The sequence below is a fragment of the Homo sapiens genome, chromosome 2 (genome assembly GCF_000001405.40).
Source record: "Homo sapiens chromosome 2, GRCh38.p14 Primary Assembly".
NCBI classification, from domain to species: Eukaryota; Metazoa; Chordata; class Mammalia; order Primates; family Hominidae; genus Homo; species Homo sapiens.
The window spans coordinates 225,604,842-225,630,302 of NC_000002.12; the positions used below are offsets into that span (position 1 = coordinate 225,604,842).

Genomic DNA, 25,461 nt, shown 5'->3' on the forward strand with positions numbered 1-25,461 from the left:
ATACATTCAGTGCTATGGCCATCAGTTATAATATCCCTAAAATGTTTACTCTTTCTGCCTTACTTTTTACATGAAATTTTAATAGCTATGACATATTTATCTCTTCCAAATATGTATTAGTAACTGTGATTCCAGCAATACCAAGTTCTGCATTTACTTTGATAGAAATTAAATATTCTCATTAGCCTTTGTAATGGAGGAATTATTCCTCTTAGCATTTGGTGTTTGCTTCAGAAACATTCATGAATGTATTTTCAGAATTATATCTTTTAGGAAGAATGGAAACGATATTTTTCTCCCCATGCATTAATATTTTTAGTGCCTGAATGCCTCTGATTCTTTTAAAGATTGAGGCATTTTTCCATCTGCCTGTTAGAATGATTTGAGTCTTAATTAAAGTTGATTGCACCTGTGCATATATTCAGCTACCCACACACTCCCACCTAAGAGTGGAAAAGCTTGTCTTTCCTCCAAAAATTAAAAGTGGGAACTCTTATCTTTTTTAAAAAAATTTATAGTCATAGAAGACAGATAATACTGTGAAGTGTTAAATACAATGCCTTCTGGCTGTCTTAGATCAGTGACTTTTTAACCTCCTAATGATTGTTTGTCAGTTGATGTAAGAGTTGATTATCTTTCTTAATCTGCTGGTTTTCTTTTCATTTATAGAGCAGCCTAGCTGAAGTAGCTAAGTAAAAAATCAGAATTTAATAACAAAGTCTCATCCACCTACTCACTGGTTGGTTGTGGTTGTGCTTGTTCTTAGATTTGGCAGCCAAGTTTTTCCTTATTTATGAAGTTGGGGAATAATCATAATGTAAATAAATAAATAAATAAATAAATGATGGCAATCATCTTCAAACTTGGAGTAGTGAAACATTTTTCTTTACTACCTGTAACATGTTTTCTCCCAAATAATTCTAATAAATATAAAATAGATTAGCTCCTATTTATTTATTTACTTCTACTTTTCTTTTCTTTCTCTTGGGGCAAACAGGACAAATAAAATGCTTTCATTTTAAATTAGGGAAAACAGTGGAATCACAAGATCTAGCCAGTCTACAAAATTAATAACCAAAAATATGTTAAGTGTTGCTAAAAACTTTCCGTAATATAAAACAGTGTCTCTTAATCCTGGTTTTAATTGTGGCCTAGGCATGAATATTTTTTGAAAGATCCCATTTCTAATATGCAGTCAAGAACAGGAACATCTAATATAGAATTCATTCTGGTACTTAGTAGAATCCTAGTAGAAGATCATTGAGTCTAAATTCCTCATTTACAGTTAAGCAAATAGAGGAAAGTAATTTGCCCAAAGCCTCAGAGTTAATTAGGGCTAAGTATGAACTGGTACCCAGGGGCTCATAACCCCAAAGATGATTCTGTACAATGTTGTGGCTGTGCGGTGCTATGACTGGGACTCCCCAGATCAAAGTGTCCAGAGGTGTGAACTTTCTGCACTTGGTTTCCAAATTGCTGGTATAAATTTATGCGCTACATTATTAGTACCAATTTTATTTTCTCCAACAACATCTAGGCCATTTCTAATAAAATGTGGTAATAGCCCATGCAACAGGAACTTCGATTTTGTTCCACAAATGCCTAATTGTAATTTCCTATGAGTATTAACTCAGTGTTGAGGATACATAAAAATGTTCTACATTACATCTTCCCAACCTATAAAATGTCTATTCACAGAGTACTGCTTTGACTTTTCAGTCATTCTCTTTCTATCCTATTGTTCAAAGGGTTATTCTGACATCACCACTTAAAAAATACATGAAAACAGAAATGGTAGAGACATTGATAGAGTTTCACATTTTCTTTTCCTATAGAAGGAAAAGTTAATTTGAATTCCTTGCATCCAATAGATAATTGGTCTACTTTCTTGCCATGGCTTTAGTAATCAGAGATTCAAATTCCTCTTATAAAGCCAAATTCTCTTGAATATCTCATAAATGGGCCACTCAAATTATAGGCATGGTTTCTTTATTCTGTATATAACATTGTTGCTTCTCCTAGAGCTTGGCATCATTTCTTCTGTATTTCGGCTGTCTGATTGTTCACACTGCTGGCAGCACCTAAGGATATTTTGTATGTAAAACCACCCTTCTTCTGTTCTATTGTAAGGTATCATTAATTAGTTAGAAAATCTCCTTGAAACAGGTCAGTTTTGTAGTTTTAAGAATATTGGACTTCAGTAGGGGGACACTTCTCATCAAACATCATTTCTTGTCATGTATTAAGGCTCACATGAATCCTATTTCACTTTAAACTGAGAAAACAGTGTATATAATTTTACATCTCGGCCCTTTCATTTATTTTTTCCCCATAGAATTTAAGATCCAGAAGGCATTTCAGAGATGGTATGGCCTAAATCTCTTATTTGAGCGATGGGTACACAGAGGCAGAGAAAGTAAGAAAATGTACCCAGTGACACACAGATGATGGCAAAACCATTACCAGGGTCAGGTTTTCCAGGAGTTAAATCCAGAGATCTTTGTACTATGCCAGTCTATTCAGCATTACTATGATGGGGGCAGTGGAAAGGAGAACCAATCTAACATGACATATGTTTGAGTCCTGTGGCCTCCTTTCTTCAAGAACATTCTTTTTTAAGTTGTTAGCTTTATGTTAATTTGCTGCGTTGTGTCCTATTTAAGACTGACTCTAGCAGCAAGTCTTCCATAACTTTGGCACATGATTTTGGAATTTGTCAAAAGATAAAGACATCTTAAAACATCCTAAGTCAAAATTTGTACCTGACCCAGGTTATAAAGATTTTATAACCCTAAAATCCTGTTTGGTCAAGACTGTAGAATTCTATTTTTCCCTCTAGGAGATTTTTATCAGTTGTTTATCAAAAGAACCATGAAGAACTGAATTTAGAGGGAATAAAATGAACTGCCACACTGTCAGGTCTTAAATGGAAAAGGACTAAAAGCACACCATTGCCATTACAGGGGCCTTAGAGAACTGTGGGCATACATATTTAATGCGGTAAATTATAGGGAGACATTTGCATGTTTATGCACTATTTTGAAGTAAAAAGGGTTGTTGAACAATAAGGACACTTTCTATAATTATGTTCCATTTTTAATACGCAGAGAATTGACTCGGGGTTCAGAGTAGTTATTTAATGAATTCTCAATATAACCTTGTCTGGTATTTCTCTCACTAAATCTTGACATCAGATTAAGACCAGACAATGAGGTTGGTTAACAAAAAATGATTATCTTGTCATTGAACAGTTGGTAGATTTTGGAATCCCAATAAAATGATCTTCATCTGGTAGATAGCCACAAATTCTGTGGCATTGGATGCAAACACTAGTTGTTTATAAAAATATACACTATTAAATGTTTTATATTTCTGCATTTTTAAAACTAGGTCTGTACAATACGTTGAAAAGGGTATTTTAGAAGTTGATGGCATTCTGATGTTGAGATGGTGACATCTGGATGTCTGTTGATTTCACATGCCCAGAGATAAGGCAGCACTGATAATGAGCCTGTGACCTGGGATAATTATTCTCACATCTTCCTTCTGGTGCCTCTCATACACCTCTCTTGGGTGAATCTTCCTTTAAAACTGATGGCATCATCATATCCTGCTCCTTGAAAATAAATACAAACTCTGTAGCCTGCCACTTAAAACATTCAATTTGTTACTTCTTTTCTATGTAAATTCAGGTCTCATTCTTTCTAATACAAAGCCTGCCTTTCAGAAACAGGCTGAACTTATTACGGTCCCTGAACCATTATTTCTCTCCATCTTTCAATTTTTTAAAAAAAGTATTTGCTGTGCTATTTTGTCAGGCTGGACATTTGTGGGCTTTAACTTGCTTATTTTCTACGTGTCTCTACCACACAGTGACTTTCTCTACCACACAGTGACTTTCTGGAAAGGAGGATCTGTGATTTGGGTCACTTTTGCCTTATTCTTAGTTCTGAGCCACAACACCATACATGTGAATAAATGTGACTAGGGAAGGGAGGATGGTAGCATAGATGTGGCCCCATTCCCTAGTCCAAATGTCACCCTGGACTGTTCTCTCCCTCTATATTCCAGCCTTGTTCCTGCACCAACTTCTCTTTGTGTCTTCTCTTTTCATTCCTTCTGTCAGTGGGCCATTGTAATCACACTGGCCTGAAACCTCACCTTCTAAACTATGGCTGTTCCAATCTGCCCTATAGATCGCTGCCTTTACTTCTTGTCATATTCTTGCTCAAAATTCTTTAATTGACTCCCAGTCCCTGTAAGATATGTCATCTCTCCTACTAGATTGCAAACCTACTAAAATCAGAGAACAGCTGCTACATAATTTTAAATCTTTAAGTCTTCTGGAAAATTATAGGTATTATAATACTTGTAATCTGAATGAACAAACCGAGGATAGGATGGATCCAAGACAGTAAGCTATAGTCAACTCCAGTCCCAAGTGATGCCGTTCATACTCTTCTTACATGAGCCTACCTGATTATGAGGCCTTTTGTAAGAGCATAAATAGAGACCCTTACTTTTTGTCCTGCCTCTCTTGTTCACCATCCCTGCAAACAGCTTTCCTCTTGCCATTTCTTAGGCCTAGATGTGGACATAGCACATTCAGCATCAGCTTTTCGTAGGACAAACTCAAGGAAAGAAGACAGCCCAGGACCTGGAAGTCAGCTTGGGGCCAGAAATGCAGCGAGTTCTTAGGTCCAAGCTGCATATGGAGAAGTCTGTAAAAGAGGATAGAGGCTCTAGATGGGCACAGGCTCTTGGCTTCATGGACTCCTTGTCCCATGTTGAGAGGTAACAGGATGAGAATCAGAGTGAGAACCTCCAAAGTGCGGTGCTCAGGGCAGGGACACTGGTTGCCCAGAGCTAAGGGTGGTACTTTCTTTATTTAAATCTGCCCCAAATAAAAGATGTAAAACTCAATGATATTAAAGTGTTAATAGCATCATAATATTCGAGATTTGGAAAAGGTCCTTAAAGGTGCTTGAATGTGGCATGATATCCACACTTTAAAAATGAAGAAATGGGAATCCAGAAAGCATGTGGTAAACTGCAGTCAATACTGTATTTAAATTCAGATAAATTGGGAATCACACCTCAGCTTTATTGTTCACCAAGCAGGTGTTACTGGGTAAGTCATATAACCTCATTGTGCGTTGGTTTCTTCATCAGTAAAATGAAGATTATGTAGTTGCCTCATAGTTCTTAGAAGACATTCATTGTCCTCCATTCATTTCTTCAAATTTCTTCCTACCCCAAATGAAATCTAGAAAGTGGTAGAATTAGATTAAGATTTCATGTACGGTTGGTATGTTGGTCTGCTTAGGCTACTACATCAAACTGTGGACTGGGTGGGGTAAACAGATACTTATTTTCTCACAGTTCTGGAGCCCAACATCAAGATGTTGGCAGATTTGGTCTTTCTTGAGGCTTCTCTCCTTGGCTTGCAGATGGCCACCTTCTTGTTGGGTGCTCATGTGACCTTTACTCCCTGTGTATGCATACCTCGGTTCTCTCTTCTGGTAAGAACACCAGTCCTATGGGTTTCGAGCCCCACCCTTGTGCCCATATTCACCCTTCATTACCTTGTTAAAGGGCCTATGTCCAAATAGAGTCACATTGTGGGATTAGGACTTTAACATGTGAATTTTAAGGGGAGTCAAAATTCTGTCTTCATAACATTCCAGAGAGTTTAGAATAGTAGATAGAAGGAAATAGTAAATACATGTAAATAATTGAAAATTTCTGTTATACACCAGGGTTTAATTTTCTCCCAAAACTATGGGATAGTATAGAATGGGATAGATATTCTGAATTTCAGCCCCATCTCTGCCAGCAACAGGCTATCAGTAGGCCATACATTCATAGTTTTCAAAGTGCATTCTGTGTAATAATATATCTTTTGGAATTGTTCTTGAAATGGGGGGAAAGTCACCCTAAAGAATAAAATTAAGGAATCTCAACATTACATGAGCCTTCTAAACATGCACAATGCCTAATAATTCATTAAAGACTTGAAGAAATCTTAATAGCAAGGCTTTCTGTTTAACTGTTTAACCAAGCCTTTTCAAAAGTTATTTAACAATAGAACCATTTTGTTAAGAACATCTATACTCCATTGACAGTTGTAGAATATTTATGCCACGTAGAATTTGCCTTTAGCTTATATCAAAAGCTTAATTTATGGACTTCAAGGTTTCAGCAAGCTGGTTGAGTTTGGGATGCAGAAAGGAAGAGAATGGGGCAGGAAGCAAATTTTGAAAATGTGTGGTAGACAGAAATCAAATGTAGACTATGGGATCTACATTACTCTGTTATGGAAAGTCTGGAATCAACCATCAAAACCCCTAGTTTCCAGACACTTCCCTTCTCAGAGGAAAACTTATAAGACTAGAGCCTCAATTCCTCCTCTGTACTGCAACCAGAGTGATCTTTTACAAATCTTAATCATGTGTGTGTGTGTTTTCCATGTATCCCTACATAAACATTCAGCTGCTTTTCTTTGCTCTCAAACTGAGCAATGAAATTCTTTTCAGAAGGAGGCCCCGTATATCTGACCAGCTCTGTCTCTTCACCCTCAGTTAGTGCCTTTTATCCCTTTCTCTCTTCACTCCAGCTGCGCAGATCTTCCCCTCTTCCAACTTGCCATGGGCATTGCACAAATATTTCCCTCTGCCCGCAAAACTAATCTAATCCACCCTCACCCTCCCCTTTGCCATTTTTGAATCACTAATCAAGATTTCTCGACTTCCCTCCTTAAAAAAAATCATCTATTATATCTTTTCATTATATCTATCATCTCTTCTTGTAGCTCTTATCAGAGCTCTAATTCCATATGAGTTCATGTAATTATTTTCTCCCTACCTTACATTAGGAGTTCTATTCAGGCAGAGGTCATGGTGTTTTAGTTCACTGTTCTATTCTTCCAGATCACAGTGCCTGGCATTCAAAATGTCTAGACAGATACAGTAAAGGCATATACATTTTACCATTGGTTGAACATAATAAGTATATATATAGAGAGAGATATATATATGTATATATATGTGTGTGTGTGTATACACACACACACACACACACACACACACACACACACACTTTTCCTCACTTGTCTTTTATAAAAAATCAATCCAAAAAAATTTCAGAGTAAACTGCTGAAGCCAGTTTTAGAAAAGTCACATTCTTTGTTTTCTGTCTTGTTTCAATGTTACCAATAAATATATCTTAGTAACTGTGGTTTGGATAAACCACTACTGTGCAGGAGTACTGATCTAGTATGTGTCCCAGCTGAAAACTACTACAGGCTTCTTTATGACTGTCTATTGAAGTGTCTCAGGAGATGAGTTGTGTATAAGATGTACTACCTAGATTTCCATTTCCACATCTCATTATACCACTCTTCCTGTTTATATAGTCTTCACATTTTCTGAAAAGAAAATTCTGTTGTTTTTAATAACATAAGTAATCCTCCTTAAAATAACCCGAACAAAACAAAACAAAACAAAAAGAAAACAAAGTGAACCCTCTCTGGAAAGGCTGTTTGTTTAGATAGACTTGCATTCATGTCCTGGTTCCTCCTGTCACCCACCTCTGACTGGCATTGGGGAGCTTACACAACCGTTGAGACCCTTGGTGAGTTTTCCTTGGTGAGTGTTTTAGTTTGCTCAGGCTACCATAACAAAATACCATTGAGTGGGTGGTTTAAACAACAGACATTTCTTTCTTGCAGTTCTGGAGGCTGGGAAGTTCAAAGTCAAGGTGCCAAGACATTCAAGTACTGGTGAGGACTCTCTTCTAGGATTGGAGATGGCCACCTTCTTGCTGTATCCTCACATGGCAGACAGAGAAAGCACTGCTGTCCCTTCCTTTTCTTATAAAGGCACTAATCCCGTCATGGAGGCCCCCCCCTTACAATCTCATCTAAACCTAATTATCTACCAGAAGCCCCACCTTTGGACATCACACCCAATGTGTGTGATGACATCACACCCAATGTGTGTGATGACATCACATCTGGGTCTAGAGCTTCAACATATAAATTGGGGAGGGGGTGTGGCTCACATATTCAGTCCATAACAGTGAGTCTTCCCAGTCAACAGGACCCTAAGTTTTGCTTCACAGTGAAGCCTGGAAGGGCTAGGTAAGTGTATTAGTCAAGTTTCTCCAGAGGGACAGAACTAGTAGGATATTTGAACATATGAAAGGGAATTTATTTAGGAGAATTGACTCACACAATTACGAGGCGAAGTCTCACGATAGGCTGGCTGCAAGCTGAGGAGCAAAGAAACCAGTCGTGTCTCAGTCCAAGTCCAAAAGCTTCAAAAGTAGGGAAGCCTACAGTGCAGGCTTTAGTCTATGGCTGAAGGCCTGAGAGTCCCCAGAAATCCACTGGTGCAAGTCTCAGAGTCCAAAGGCCGAAGAACCTGAAGTCTGATATCCAAGGGCAGGAAGCACCCAGACCAGAGAAAGATGAAAGCCAGAAGACTCATCAAGCCGGCTTATCCCAGCTATTTCCACTTGCTTTATTCCACCTCTGCTGGCAGCTGATTGGATGGTGCCCACCCACATTGAGGGTGGGTCTTCCTCTCCCAGTCCACTGACTCAAATGTCAGTCCCCTCTGGCAACACCTCACAGACTTACCCAGAAACAATACTTTATGAGCTATCCAGACATCCTTCCATCCAATCAAATTGACACCTAAAATTAACCATCATATTAAAAACTGGAAATAACATTTGTAAGGAGTCTAGTGCAGCATCTGACCCATAGTAGCCACTTAATACGTGGTAGCTCTAATAACAGTGTTGATGCTGCTGCTGTTATAAGACATCATGTAGAAGAACTGCATTCCTGACTTTCCAATAGTAACTAGAAGACATTAACTTTTTTTAATAATAGGCAGGGAAAAACATTAAAAACAAATCATTAATGTTTTTAATAGCTCACTGTCTTCATTTATTATATAGTCCACTGTGATTTGATTGGGGGAAGGTAGTAGAAAGGAGAATTAAATTAAACTATATGTAGTTTAATTTAATTGAAGACTACAATAAAAAGAACGTAGACACTCTCCGAAATGTAAAGTGAAGGTGTATTTTAAAACAGAACTAATATTGTTGAAGCCTCATGAACTGTTTTGTTTTTTTCTGAAACTTTGGTGTCATAGAAGTATACAAGTTTAGACATAGGAAAATTCTTACAGTTTGTTTCAAATCCACGATTGTATCTGAGAAAACCAAGGCTCAGTAAGAGTTGTTTCCTCAGATTCCCAAAGATTTTATTGAACTGAGCTGAGAATGAACTACAGATCATCTCAACCCCAAGCCAGGATGTTTTATAGTTTTTGTATTTCTGGGAAAATATTTTAATTCATTCTTATTTGTTCCTAAGTATAGCTGATTTATATCTAAATTATGAATGTTAAGAACAGTTAATATTTTATTTATGAACATTTTAAAATAATCATTTTTTAAACTATTTCTTACAGATTTGGGGGTTTTGCTACTATTTTGAATGAAAAACTATTTGAAAATTTTGGTTGGCACTAGCCTCATTCAAATTAATACAAATAAAATATATGTAAGCTGTTCAAATGAATGATCATTCTAGAGATTCAACTACTTTTACACTTGACACATATTTACTAAAGCCAGAGGATTTAAAATATCTATTCAATACTCAATAAAGAGTATGAGTTTTATAAAGGCATTTTATTACAACTAGAGCTAACAAAAGCATCACATATTGGATTTTTGAACTGTATTTGTCAACCTAATTTCTCTATCTCTTAGTTTTTCTGTCAGTATACCAATAAAAACATTTTCTTCATTAGAAACACAAGGATCTAATATTTAGACTGTGTTTTACAGAAGAGAAAATGAGAAATAATTTCTGTTAAAATCTGTATGAAGAGTTGGGCAGAAGCTGAGTGCTACATGAATTTATAATTAGAATTAAGAGTTACATCTAGAGAATAGTCCAACTGCTATTGCAAACAATTCCAAAACCTCAGCAGTGTACTGGAATATGATTTACTTCTGGGTTATGTCACAGGCCGTGATTTTTGTCACAGGCAAAGTGGAAACCAATTAGTGAATTCAGTGAAAGATGGGCTACTCTTCCAGGTTATCGGGAAGTTTCCATCTAGTGGGTGTGACAGCCTCTAAAATGTCAAAAAAATTCCAGCTGGCAGAAGAAAGCAAAAGGACAAGGATTTTATAGGACATTTGATGCCCAGACCTGGAAGTAGCATATGTCATTTCCACCTGCATTCTAATGGCTAGACCTCGGTTATACAGCTCTCCCTAGCTGCAAGGAATGCTCATAAACATGGCTTAACTAGATGCCCAGAAAGAAGGACAAAGGGATTTGGTCAGCATGTGGCTAGTCTCTTGACTTCCTCAGTACAAACATAAATGAAAAAATAGATTGAGTTCTCTGAGCAAATTGCCCTGCTCTGCCCTGCAATACTAGAATTTCTCAAAGAAAATGTTACTGAAATGTGCCAATACCTGAGATCTACTATTAATGAGGGATGTTTCAGGCAGAAATAATTTGGTGGCAATATCTCTACAATCCTCATGTATTCTGATAAAAAAAAAGAATAATTCCAACGTCTGGATATTTGGTGGAGAGCTTTTAAAGGCCAGACATGGTCTTAAAAATTCTATTTATTATTCCATGCTATGAAAATTTGTTATTATTTGCAACTATTTTATGGAGAACTGTTGTGTATAAGTCAGTGTGTGTGTTCCCCTGTGTTACAGTGAGAGGTGAACACTGCCTGGTGTAGGTACTCCCGATGCAAATTTAGAACTCTCACTTTCCTGGTCACCATGACCTGTATTCTAATTGAATGTCACAGTGTGTGTCAAAACTGTGGATTCTGGAGCTGATTGGAGCTGATTAGAGCCAGCCAGACAGAGAAGTTTACCTACAAGCCCAGGCAAGTGCTGGGGCCTTCTCGTTGACCTGCTATTTCTCCACCCTCTAAGTTTCTAAGGAAAAGAGAGCAAAGGCCCTGTGCCTCCACCACGAAAGAGCATGGCAGAGCAGGGGCAATGCTTTATATTTCATTATTCTTTCTCTCTTGTGTAAACTCTGTTGAAGAATCTCTGATAAAGAAAAAGGCTTTTTCTTTATCAGGTCTTTGCTAATTGCTGTTTGTGCGATCTTGGGCAAGTTGTGTGAAGGCTCTGTGATGTTTTTACACCTGTAAAGTGATTAGGACTTTTTGCATATTCCACTTGATTCAGTGTGCCCCATCTGTGTGTAAAACATCATTTTATCTTGTTTGCTTTCATAAACACAAACCTGGGCTTTCTTTCCAACTGTACTGAAAACCATGGAATCTCCAAATGACTGAGCTGTTGTTCTTTCTCTCTATATATTTGAAGAGAAGGCATCCCTTGGATGTAAGAATTGACATAGCTGACCCCAAATAACAGTTTATACAAGAGAGAAGGAATAATGAAATATAAAAATATGCCCCCGCTCCTCCATACTCTTTCATGGTGGAGGCACAGGGCCTTTGCCCTCTTTTCCCTAGAGACTTGGAGGATGGAATAATAGCAGTGCAACGAGAAGCCCCCAGCACTTGCCTGGGCTTGTAGGTAAACTTCTCTGTCTGGCTGGCTCTTATCAGCTCCAGAAACCACAGTTTTAAAATACTCTGTGATATTCAATTAGAATACAGGTCAGGGTGACTGGTAGAGTGAGAGTTCTAGATTCGTATCAGGAGTACCAACAACTAACCAATGGTGGTACTGGAAAGAAAGTCAACGTGAGCTCTGTAAGAGCTTTCTAGAAATTAAAGATTTTCAGAATTGAGCCAAGGTTTCCCATGAGGTAGGAACTGGTCTTCCCTGGAGTTATCCTCCGAGAGGCAGGACAACCATCTCAGTAATTACAAACACACATCTTACCTTGAGTGAACTGTTCCAAGTGGTGATTTCCAAGGGCTGTTTCAGTCCTAAAATTTGATGACTGAATCTAATACCCATCTGATAATGCAACTTAGTTCAGTGCCTCCTTTAGTGCTTAAAACGTGTTGTCTTTTCTGCTTAATTAATCTGCCTTGATCACTTCTCCTTATTCTCATTGTTCAGCAGTTGGAGTAGCATGCAGTGTCTTTGATCCTGTTGATTATGCCAATATGAAGCAACAACTTGGAAGCATTCTTTATGTCCACAGAAAGCTCAATTGCTCATCTGCAACAGACCTTTGGTCTCTCTATTTTCAGGCACAATCAGAGCCCATATTTTGTAACCAAGCGATCTCTATGTGAGATTGTGACATTTCAAAAATCACATCAGTGGCTTATGCCTGTAATCTCAGCACTTTGGGTGGCCAAGGCAGGTAGATCTCTTGAGGTCAGGAGTTTGAGACCAGCCTGGTCAATATGGTGAAACCCCATCTCTACTAAAAAAATAAATTAAAAAGCTGGGTGTGGAGGTGGGCACCTGTAATCCTAGCTACTAGGGAGGCTGAGGCAGGAGAATTGCTTGAACCCGGGAGATGGAGGTTGCGGTGAGCCGAGATTGCACCATTGCACTCCAGCCTGGGCAATAAGAGTGAAACTCTATCAAAAAATAAAAAAATAAAAAAAAAACAGCAGTCATGAACCACACATACAAAAGCTTTTTATGTAAATCATCTGAGTCATCTACATGTTCATAGAAGCAATTAAATGAATGACAGTTGAATCCTTTTAAATATTGCAAAAAAATAGGAGAATAGAATCTTAAATTTTCCCAAGTAAATGATGTGACTGTTCATATTTCCAAATAAAACTCATTTTTCCAGGCAAATTACTTGTTTTTTATGGCCTATTAATAACAAGTGGTAATTGTGGAAACATTTATGGCTTAAGAAAAGACAATTTTGACAACAGCAACTAACTCATGTTCTCCAGTTATTGAGGGCTATTGGTTTATGCTTGCTATGCATGGCCCATCTGCAGGGAAACATTGGAGAGGTGGGTATGAGCCAGGGATGGGATTAGAGCCAGAAGCAAACAGTAATAAGCTATTATCCTGGGTGAAGCAGGCATGCAGTTATTCATCCCATCCCTTCAATTCTCACTGAGGACTCTATTAGATACTGAGTACCAATGTGAAAGATGTAGTCTTTAGTCTAAAGCTTGTGATCCAACGGGGGCAACAAGATATATAAACAACAACTGTGACAAGTCACATCAGAGCACAAGACATGTGCCATGGAAGGCATAGGGTGGCCCATCAATGACACAACGTTTTAATGTAATACCCTGTTTGCTTAGGTTGCAGAAATGTAGTTTGGCTCTATATCTCATAGGTACCCCCAGCAGCTACCATATACACAGCTACCGTACCAAGGGCTTATGACTGCTGGAATTAAAACCAAGGCACCCACATGTCACCTTGATCCAAAGAAGATCCAAAGAAGCTGCAGCCTTGGCTCCGCACAAATATTTTATTATTTTTGTCATATTGTCCCAGGTCCTCATGTCACCTAGTAGTCCACCTGTCCAGGTGCAGGCCAACAGATCAGGGCTTACAATAAATAGGACAGGTGCAACATTACACTCTGTGTTATTGTAATTGCCAAGGTGAAAGTATTACAATATGGCAGGCTCCGAGGTCACTTTCTTTAGGGCAGCCCAAGCCTGGTATTAACTCTTTACTCACAGCTTTAACTCAAACTAGGAAAAGGAATTAGGAGAAGTCTTCCTTGAATGATAACACCCAACTTAAGTATTCCCAAACAAGAAGACCTGGCTAATCAGTTCATCATTTTGCTTTGGAGGAGAGGTGTGTCAGGCTGAAGAAAGAGCAAATATAGAGAAAACAACTCATCATCTCCACAATTAAAATAGGTAATGGAAAAGAAATGTTGAGAGCTGCCAGAAACTAGTTTACGAAGGGCCTGATGTCTTAACCCAAAGCATTGGAACTTGGTTCTAAGGGCCTTGGGGAATCAGGAAGTAATTTCACTGGAAAATAAACGGAAATGGATCATGACAGGAGACAGGCAGGTAGGGGCTTTTGCCTTAACACAAAGAAGAAAAGTGAAGGCAAGAATAGAGCCATGATGTTGGTTAGGGAAAAGTGTGGAAAAGTATTATATGCTTCTGTTTCCTGTCCTAATCCCAAGACTGCTAAGTTGTGGGCACTCTCTGTGCTAGGGATGACATAGATTAGACGATTGCCAAGTGTCTTCCTGGTGAACCTGTAAGAAGGGTAATCTATGTCACTAAAAAGAACAGTAGGAGAAAAAATAATTCTTAGCATTGCTATGTAAGGAACTTTAAATGCATTATCTCATTTAATCTTCACAGGGACACAATAATAGCAATTATTATCTTTGTTTACAAATATGGAAATTGGGGTTCAGGAACCTTGACTAAGGTTAAGTAGCAAATACATGGCATGGCCAAAATGCAAAGTGGAAGTTTGTCTGGCTCTGAAGACCATGACTTTTTAGCTAGAAGAAGAGCAAGTTCAGAGAGAGAATAGTGCTGCCAGTTTTAAGAGCTTGTGCCCCCACCCAGGCGGTCATATGCAAAGGCTCATTCATGCTATACTGTTTTGTTCCTAGAGCTTAAAAGAGATCTTCAGGTGGTGAGGATTTATAAGAATCTTCAGTACTCGTTTGTTACTGAGTGAATCAATGTTGATGAGGAAGAGTGAATAAGAGATTCTGGTAAAACCCACTAATGTATGGGGTCAGACCTAGCGGTAAAAGCCATTAGACCCAGGAAACCAAGTCTTCCTAGGTGGCCCAGGATCCAGGACACAGATGGAGAGGGAGAGAGACAGAGAAGAAGCCAGAGAGACAGAAGTAGACCCACAGACAGCATAGAGAGGCAGGAAATGGGAAACTTCAGGGTTAGCTGCATGAGGTGTGATGGATTAGAATCCTGGAGAGAGTGTTTGCTCAAAAATGAATTGCTCCTGGTGTTATCTTTCTTCTGTATCCTGCTTCAGCCTAAACACTGTAACAAATTTAAGACAATGATATACAAAACACCCAGTCTGAAATACAAATATAATAAAATAATACATCCATTTTTGTAATAAATTTAATTCAAGTTCAGATTTCAATGTGAGAATTAGATTTTAGAGCAATAGTCAACATTCGCTCATTCATTCACTGAATAGAGGATAGGTGCGTTCTATGCAGTTGGCACCGTGAGCTACATGCTGGGGCTGTAACTGTGAACACTTAAAATAACTCAGATTCCACATAAAGCTTTACCACAGTATGTAAGATTGATCTTGTTCCAGAGAGTTTATGTTACTAAAATCAATTTTGTTTTCAACAGACTTTAAAAAGACATTGAGATATATGGATATGGATAAATATGTCCTTTTCCTCTGAATACGTTTCCTTGAGTTTTCAATATATCTTATTTACATATTATATATTACAAGAGTCTAATTGTCCACTTTCAATTTGTCTCTTTTCAACAGCTATTTTGAAGATTTTCATATTTGTTTGAATTAGAAAACACCTTGGTTAGGAAGCAGTTCTTGAATACATACACACACACAGGCACCCACACGCACGCACGCACACACGCGCACGCACACATGCACGCACACGCACGCACACACGCACGCACACGCACGCACACACGCGCATGCACACGCACACGCACGCACGCACACACACGCACGCACACACACATGAAAAAACAGATTTATTCCCAAATAAAATTCTCCATAATACATTTATGATTTTCTTACAGATTTTTCAGCTCTGCTTTCTATTTAGGAGGCAGACATTAAGGTATACAGGCACAGGTCTGAGTAGTACCATTTCTTTAATCCTTTTGTTCAAGTTTCTCTAAATACACCTGCCTAAAATTTACTGAAGACTAACCTCTGGGACTTGAAAACAAAGAAGAAGAGAAAAACACACACACAAAATTCCTTTCCAAAGCTGTAGGCTTTTATTTAATTGAGGCTGGAGACCTAAGTGACACTCCCTGGTTTAAAATCTGGAAGAGGGCCAGGCGCGGTGGCTCACACCTGTAATCCCAGCACTTTGGGAGGCCAAGGTGGGTGGATCACGAGGGCGGGAGATCGAGACCATTCTGGCTAACATGGTGAAACCCCATCTCTACTGAAAATACAAAAATTAGCCGGGCATGGTGGTGGGCGCCTGTAGTCCCAGCTACTCGGGAGGCTGAGGCAGGAGAATGGCATGAACCCGGGAGGCGGAGCTTGCGGTGAGCTGAGATCGTGCCACTGCACTCCAGCCTGGGCGACCAGCGAGACTCCGTCTCAAAAAAAAAAAAAAAAAAAAATCTAGAAGAGAAGGTGGGCTGAAGTAGATGGGTCGTTAGGCTTTGAGGCTATGACGTTTGGAAGCTAGAGTTACACTTTCTTTGAAGCTGTGAATAAACAGCTTGGGAATAGTTTATAATGTTATTTTCTGATACTGGTTTTATTCCTTTTGTCTCAGGACACTGAAAAACAAGTGTTGGTTAAATTATCTTTAATTATTGTGCGGGAATATATTGCCTTTACAATATTTTGACTTCTCATAAAAAGACAAATACTATTTGATTCCACTTACATGACATACCTAATGTAGTCAAATTCTTAGAGACAGAAAGTAGAGGAGGGGTTGTCGGGGGCCAAAGGGAGGAGGAAATGAGGAGCTGTTATTAAGTAGGTACAGACCTTCAGTTTTGCCAGACAAAAAGAGCCCTGCAGATTGATTATACAACAAAATGAATGTACTTTACACTAGTGAACTATGCACTTAAAAATAGCTAAGATGGGAAATTTTATGTTATATGTATTTAACTATATTTTTATAAAAATAATGATTAAAATAGTACTTTTATATTGTGGTATATTTTAATACAGTTTTTTTTTATTTTTTTTTTAATTATACTTTAAGTTCTGGCATACATGTGCAGAATGGGCATATTTGTTATATAGGTATACACATGCCATGGTGGTTTGCTGTGACTGGCTTATTTTACTTATGATAACATCCTTCCAGTAGCAATAAACCCTTATGCTAGCATGTGCCAGAGTTCCTTTTTTTGTAAGGCTGAATAATACCCCACTGTATGCCTGTACCATGTTGTGTTGACCCAGTCATCGATGGACACTTGGGTTGCTTCTGTCCTTTGTGAATAATGCTACTATAAACTTGGATGTACAAATACCTGTTTGAGCTCCTGATTTCAATTATCACTATTGTTATTTGAGACAAGGTCTCAGTCTGTTGCCCAGCCTGGATTGCAGTGGCACAATCTCAGCTCACTGCAGCCTCGACCTCCCAAGGCTCAAACAATCCTCCCACTCCAGCTTCCCAAGTAGCTGGGACTACAAGCTTGCACCACCATGCCCAGCTAATTTTATCTTCTTTGTAGAGACAGTGTCTCACTATGTTGCCCAGACTGATTTGGAATTCCTGAGATCAAATGATCCTCCTGTTTTGGCCTCCCAAAGTGCTGGGATCACAGGCGTGAGGCATTGAACCTGGCTCCTGCTTTCAATTATTTTTCCTTGCTTTGTTTTTTCTGCAGAGCACTGATTACCATCCAAATGCCCTCTTCCTGCCCCCAGCTAGAGATGCAAATTATTTCTATTTGGTAGAAAGATGACTCTAAAGGTTGTAATTGTATTGCCTTAAGGACATTAACCAATTTTATTTCTTTTCTTTCTTTCTTTCTTCTTTCTTTCTTTCTTTCTTTCTTTCTTTCTTTCTTTCTTTTTCTTTCTTTCTTTCTTTCTTCTTTCTTTTTTTTTTTTAGACAAAGTCTCGCCCTGTTGCCCAGGCTGGAGTGCAGTGGCTCGATCTTGGATCACTGCAACCTCCACCTCCCGGGTTCAAGCGATTCTTATGCCTCAGCCTCCCAAGTAGCTGGGATTACAGACACCTGCCACTACGCCCGACTAATTTTTGTGTTTTTAGTAGAGATGGGGTTTCACCATGTTGGCCAGGCCAGGCTGCTCTTGATCTTCTGACCTGAGGTGATCCACCTGCCTTTGCCTCCCAAAGTGCTGGGATTACAGGCTTCAGCCACCATGCCCAGCCACAACCAGTTTTATTTCTAACCTAGCAATTTTATTCTAACATTCTTTTAAAAATGTCTATAAATACTTAGGTCCTCCAAATGCTCTTTGGATCAGCTTTACCATCTTGCTTCATCATTAATGATTAATAAATTTCCGAAACATGTTCATTCCAAAAAAATATGTAGACTTCATATACTTGATTTCATTATAACTAAAACAAGTTTATACACAGGCCCATTTAAAAACCTGAAATCTTTCTGAGACTGTATTGGAAGAGACTATAGCAATATGGAAATAAATGAAGATCAAACAAAAGAGACAGGCAAAGGCTATTTATTCAGAGCTTGCATTTGGCAAAGACTCAGAGGCAGGCAGAGGAGTAGGAAGGCTTTATGGGGGAAAAAATGTTCAATTAAATTTGGCCTAAAGCTACCTCCATATGTAATGAATTGCAACCTAACTTAGTATGTAAATAAACTACAACCTATCATAAAAGTATATTATTGTAACTAGTAGCTGAGTCTTGGCCAATCATAGCAGCCAACTTTTCAGCCAATCACAGACTGCAAACTGGCCTGTAATCAATAAGGTGAAGGCTGGCCTGTAATCAATCAGGATATTTCTTTTTTTTTTATGTAAAAGTAACGATTTAATGACTATAAGCAATACAAAGCAATAGAATTGTGCTTCTTTTTCAGACTGGGGACAATGAAATGTTTAGCTACAATTTTCCTATGCAAACATGAAACAATATTCATATAGAATAAACACCCTCACAAATAACTGATGGGTGATGAACACACACCAAGTTCGACCAAAGCAAAAAACAAACTAAAAATTGTTGGGTGGGGTTATTCATATTTTAAATTCAACATGCTTGCTCTATTTAAAAATACCTGTAGAAGCTCATAATAAATAGCTTCTATTTCCAGACATAGCAGAGAAGGCATATTCCATTGTTAACTGTAAAAGCAACTCTTAAATTTGAAATTACTGCTATACCACGTATTAAAATAACTTTAGATAAAATGCCTTCTTTTAGCAACCTGCTGGTTTATTTAAAAAATTGTTTTAGAACTACAGTGATCAATATGCATTTTTAAAATACAATATTAATTCCATCATAGCCAATGGAAAATTAACACGCTATTTCCATATTTCTCAGTTAAAGGTTTTTCTTTACTGCAACAATTTTTAAAGTAAACATGTATTATTGGAGAAAAGTATATAAAGAAAAGTATATTCTATATGTTATTTATTTTTTCTTTCTATAAATACTGCCTGACCAGGTTGCTGGGCAGAGATCTCTGAGCCTTTACTTGTTCAGGGTGCTGCCCAATTCACAAATCATTTCTTTTTCTCAAATAAACTCTGCTAAATTAAGTTTGTCTAAAGTGTTTCGTTTATCAACAACAATGAAAAGGCTTCAAGTGTACCTTGATTGGGGACTATTAACTTGGGGAAGTGGCAGGTAAGCACACTAGAAACGGGGCATTCTATGTGATTGGTTAAAGGTGTATATTTACTTTTCCTCAGTTGTTCCTAAGTTGGAAACTGGGGCAAAAATTGGGGAAGCTAAGTTGTTACTCAAGTCTTGACTATTTGAGGCCAATTTTTACATGGGTGGTTGTTTAGCTTTTAGGATTATTTCCTAGAGACGGGTCTACTCCCTACAAGTGTGACTGGTACCTCATAGGTTGACTTCCCAAGCTAGTTACTGTAGATAATAGGCTACAGTTCTGTTTCTGAATGTGATTTGGCAATTTTCCATTTGTATAAGACTCTTAGTAATTATCTAATGTAGAAAAATTAAATAAACTAATAAAGGCCAAATGACTGTATTTAACTCAATACTACTTTTTATGTGTCTGGCACTTTTTAGTTTTCAAAATATTTTAAACTGTAGAATATTATCAGATTTTTAAAATAAAATCAAGGAAGTTAGGTAGGGCTGGTATTTTCTTTGTTTTGTACGTAAGAAAAATGAGGTTCCCCAAGAGGTGACATGGGTCACAGCCACAGTTGCAAAGCTGAGGCCTCTGAGATTCCTGACCCGGACTGCTCAATATATGACAGCCTGTTCTATCTGTGTCCCACAGATTCAGATAATGGTGAACCAAAGTGTGACATTTGTGTTATCACACTGCTGAAAGTTGATAAGGATTTTAACCCAAGCGTAAAAAAAAAAAAAAAAAAAAAAAAAAAAATTCAGATTTTTTGAATCATTTCTGTGATTTTCTAAAAAAATTCCTTATTTGAATTAAACTGTTAACCTGGTGAATTTTACAACTTGTGATTATTAGATAATCAGATTTTTGAAAATACTATTAGCTCCATTAACATACTTGCTATCACTTGATTTTCCAGTTCCATCAGGAATGTTATATTTCCTACATAGATTAGAATGATGTGTGAAGAACTGAGAAATCTGCAATATAAATAAATTAATTAAATTAAAAATTCATGGAGCAATATGATAGGTGGTGGAGTCAACCATTTTTTAAAAACGCAAAACAAACAAAACCTCAATACCTGCCTTAAAATAACTCAAGGCCTTTCGGGAAGAGCAGATACATAGAACTATAAAGCAAGGTCAGTGCAGAGATGACCATGACCCTGCAAGAGTGGTGAATGGGTGGGAGGGCTTCAGAGGATACTTAAATTGAGTTACCAGGAGAGAGTAGAGTTAGTTAAGCAAAGAAACACAAGACATAAGGGCATTCAAAGGAGGGGTGGTAATAGCTGTAGAAAACAGCATTGTTTTTATTGGGGGAGGAGTAGGGAGGAAGAACCTACAACCAATGTAATACAGGTAGGTTAACAGGGAAAGACAAAGCTAGAGGGGAAGGAAAGAGCAAGAAGGTGGAGATTCTTGCCGATGATATTAAAGAGCTTAGACATTCTATGGGCAACAGGAGGCTTCTGGAAGGATTTTATTCAGGGTTACATTATGATCAGATTTGCATTTTCAATAGATCATTTTGGCAGTATAAGGAGCTTATACTTTGAGGAGTCAAGGATAGAGTCAGAGACGGGTTGCAGTAATTCAAGTGAGAGGATTAGAGCTGAACCAGAGCCATTGAGGTAGACATGAAACAAAGTGGAAGAGAAGCAAGAGCAAGACATCCAGAAATAAAATCTGTACAATCTTCTGACTGATAGATTTGGGCATTATCACTTAAAGAAAGAGAGAGAAAAGTTTCTAGCTTGGATAGTTGGTTGGACAGAAAGAACCAGTAGTTTAATAAGAAATTATCAGTTCAGTATCTGAAATGTTCATATGGGGACTCCAGATGGATTCACCTAGCAGGCAGTTGGATAAATGAATGTAAAGATAAAAAGAATGGTCCAGGCATCTGATAAAATATTTAGAAATCACTAACAATTAGATGATTGCTAACTGAATCCTTGAGGACAAAAATCAGAAAGAATATGTGTAGCAGAAGCAGCACAGTGGCTAAGCTAGCACCTCGGGAACAACCAGTGTGCCAGGGATGCATGGAGGATGAGATGATATAAATGACAAAGGAAAGGTGTTAGATACAGAACAGGACACAGGAGGATGGACCATCAGCAAAGCCAAGAGAATTGAAAATATAAATGAGTGAGTAATCAAATAATTGTCAAATGGCTGATAAAAAAGCCTTATACATTTGCCAAATAAAAGGCACTAGGTGATGTTATCAGGAGCAGATTGGATAGCGTGGTTTGGCTGAATTTTTGTAAAGATTAGAAAGTAAAGAGAGTGAGTGTGAAGTGTTCTTAAATAAGTGTACTCAGAGATGAGCCCAAGGGAAGAGTTACTAAAGATTCGTCGAGGTACTCTTTTTCCAAAAAGAAAATTGTATTTCCCAGAGATACTAGCCTACACAACTCAGAAAAAAGGCCCCCTGGAGTCTATGTTTCTGTTATATTTAAATGTTGTAGTCTCCAAGTCTGAGTTTCCAACAACATATTGAGACAATTTTAGAAAATCACACTAATTTTTTGAAAGTAATTTAGGAAGAACTTTACTCTTGTTTAACAGAATGTAATTCTGGTTACTACACAGAATCAACAGAGGAACTGAAAGTCCGAAGCCACAGCACGGAGCCATTACCAAAGTTGGACAACAAGGAAAGAGGCCACCATGGGGCGTCTTCCTCCAGAGAGCCTGTCAAAGCTCAGGAATGGGATGGAACACCAGGGACACCTGTGGTCACCAGTCGACTAGGAAGATGCTCTGTGAGCCCCACCTTGTTAGCGGGAAACCACAGTTCAGGTAAGGCAGATTATGATCTTCCAGAAGGTAATTCCTCCTGTCTCTAGAGACTACTTTCATGCAATATCACTTACAGAATTATCACCACAGATATCTCTGTCTGCACACAGAGAGGCACCACAAGTAACCATTCACGTAGGTTACATAAAGGGATATAACAATATATTGTACTGCTCAAAGGTACAACTATTTACAGAGATGAAAGATACCTGAACGGTGCTTCTTGGAGCTATGCAAGATAGCAGCCTTGAAAACTTAAAAAGTTTTATACTAAATTTCTTCAAAAATATCTAGAGGCCTCATCTAAAGCAGTTTTAACTTGCGAAGTTTGAGTAATTTAGAATTTATGCTTCATTTGCTTCAAAAAATATTTTGGGCAACTGATAAAAAATGAACAAAAGTAACATTGAGAACAGAAATGTAACAAAGATAATCTGAAAGCAGTAAAGAAAGTAGATATTAGGAGGCATCTGAAATCTTGAGCTGAAGGTGATAACTGGGCATTGGGAATGGCACTAAATTCCCAAATCTAAGTCAAAGGAAAATGTAAAAGTTTTAATAGAATGTACCTTTAAATGTCACAAGTTAAAATTAAAATCTGCAATGCAATTTTACATGGTTAATAGGTAGGTATTATTAAACATCAACTTTTTAAAAAACAGCATATGTTTGCTTTGAATTTATTAATTTATGTGTTGGACTCACAGAGAGCTGTCAATTGAAATAAACAACAAATAATCAAGGAACCTCCTGTAGTTTCAGGTTTCTATTTCTTAAGAGTGTTAGAGCTCCAAAGAAAAGACTAATCCTTTAATATTCTTTTCAGCTCTGATACTCATCTTAGAAAGCAATTTACATGAATTTAGCTTGTGGTCTCTCAGACAGTCGTGCACAAGTTAAAATTGGAATAGGATGAATGGTCTCTGCAATTGCTGAGGATATTCCTGGAACAATACCCAGACAGGAGCAAAGTACTAGCTTCCCCAGACTTAACATGTAACTTGAAGCTTTGGTGGTAGAGCCATAGCACATATGTGGATAACCAACTCTAAAGCATGAGTTAAAATTTGGCCAAAGGAATACTATATAAATTTAATAAAAATTTCAAAGTATATTTTTGATAGTAAAGTATAAATTGCTATAGGTGTGCATTTTGTCACAAAGAAAAAGAAACATAGAGAACACATAGTTTTTTTTTTTTTTTTTTTTTTTGAGATGGAGTTTCACTCTTGTTGCCCAGGCTGGAGTGCAATGGTGCGATCTTGGCTCACTGCAACCTCCGACTCCTGGGTTCAAGTGATTCTCCTGCCTCAGCCTCCCTAGTAGCTGGGCTTACAGGTGCCCACCACCACGCCCAGCTAAGTTTTTGTATTTTTAATAGAGACGGGGTTTCACTATGTTGGTCAGGCTGGTCTCAAACTCCTGACCTCAGGTGATACACTCACCTCAGCCTTCCAAAGTGCTAGGATTACAGGCTTGAGCCACTGTGCCTGGCTCACAAATAGTGTTTTTATGGGGAAAAAAGTCACTTCCCCAAAAAACTTTGACATCACTATTTAATTGAGTCTTATGATTAGTTTGGGGCTTATCAGTAGTTTTAAAGAATTATCAAAATTTGTACCAATTCTATTGAAAATACGTGAACAATATATACTTCTATTGTGGCTAGATATATATTTTATAAAAATCAGAAGCATTCTCTGGGTTTCTATTATGTTATAGCCACAGTTCTATGATCTGAGAATACAATGACAAAAAAGATATCCTTACATTTAAGTGCTCAAAGTCTAGAGCAAGACAGACAAATAGACAACTGCAGTATACTGTGTGTTTCAGTCAGGATTCTCTAGAGAAACAGAACCAATAGGATATATAGATATAAATATATAAAGAGATTTATTATGAGGGATTAGTTCGCATAATCATGCAGGCAGAAAACTCTCATTATCTGCTTTCTGCAAGCTGTAGGCCCAGGAAAGAAAATAGCAGAGTTCTAGTCCAAGCTCAAAGGCCTGAGAACTAGGGGAGTCAATGGTGTTAAGTCCCAATCTGAGTCAAAAATCCCAAAAGCTAGAATGCAGATGTCCAAGTGCAAGAGAAGACAGATGTCCCAGCTCAAGAAGAAAGAGTAAATTTGCCCTTTATTCTCTGTTCCATTCTATTCAAATCCTCAGCAAATTGGATGATGCCCACCCACCTAGGTGAGGGTGATTTTCTTTACTTAGACTAGTGATTCAGATACTAATCTCTTCCAGAAATACCCTCACATATACACCCAGAAAAAATGTTTTACTAGCTATCTGGGCATTCCTTAACCCAGTCAAGTTGACACATAAAATCACGTGTGTTACATAAAAATATGAATACTATGGGAAACAGAAGATGTCTTAATCCATTCTGTGTTTCTGGGTACACAAGGCTGGGTAATTTATTAAGAAAAGAGGTGTATTTGGCTTACGGTTCTGCAGGCTGAGAAGTTCAAGAAGCATGGAGCTGGCTTCTGCTCACCATGAGGTTGGGGCTTCTGTGCTGGGTCAAAACATGGTGGAAGTTCAAAGGGGAAGTAGATATGTATGAAGAGGCAAAACTCAACGGGCATCTGGCTTTATGAGAACCCACTCTCTCAAGAACCAGTCTAGTCTCACCAAAGTGAGCACTTACTACCTCAAGAACAGCAGCAAGCCATTCATGAAGACTCACCCACATGACCCAGACCCCTCCCACTAGGCCCCACCTCCCAACACTGCTGCATTGGGGATGAGATTTCAACATGAGTTTTCGTGAGAACAAGCCATATCCAAATCACAGCTGAAGAGAAATCAGTTAGTTCTTCCTGGGGCAGAGTGATTTTAACAGTAATAATCGGGAACTTTTGGTAGATAAATAATATTTGCTTGAAGAATATGTGAGCTAGAACTTGAAACAATGAGTTTCTCACCAGGAAGATGAAGAAAAAAGTCAGCCTTCTGGATAAAATCCTAAAAGTCTATGGGATGGAACAAAGTGTTTGGTATAAAGGATGAGGGAAGATTGAAGAAACTGCAAAGGTAGGTGGTGACAAGATAGCAAAAGTCCTGAAGGGCCTTGTTATTAATTAGAAAGCCTTTTAGCTATGAAGTATAAATTACCAGAGGCTTAGCAAATAATAGCCCTTGTTTGCACCCTTAGCATCAAGC

At 38.1% G+C, this 25,461-nt stretch overlaps 1 protein-coding gene across 4 annotated transcripts in view; it reads left to right on the forward strand.

Annotated features, from left to right (window-relative positions):
- NYAP2 (neuronal tyrosine-phosphorylated phosphoinositide-3-kinase adaptor 2) overlaps positions 1 to 25,461 on the forward strand; it is a 305,716-nt gene that overhangs the window by 206,903 nt on the left and 73,352 nt on the right. For all 4 annotated transcript variants that reach the window (XM_047445201.1, NM_001371273.1, XM_047445200.1 and 1 more), the window contains one exon: positions 22,076 to 22,285. In XM_047445201.1, the coding sequence (XP_047301157.1) occupies positions 22,076 to 22,285 (210 nt within the window). The remainder of the gene's footprint in view (positions 1 to 22,075; positions 22,286 to 25,461) is intronic.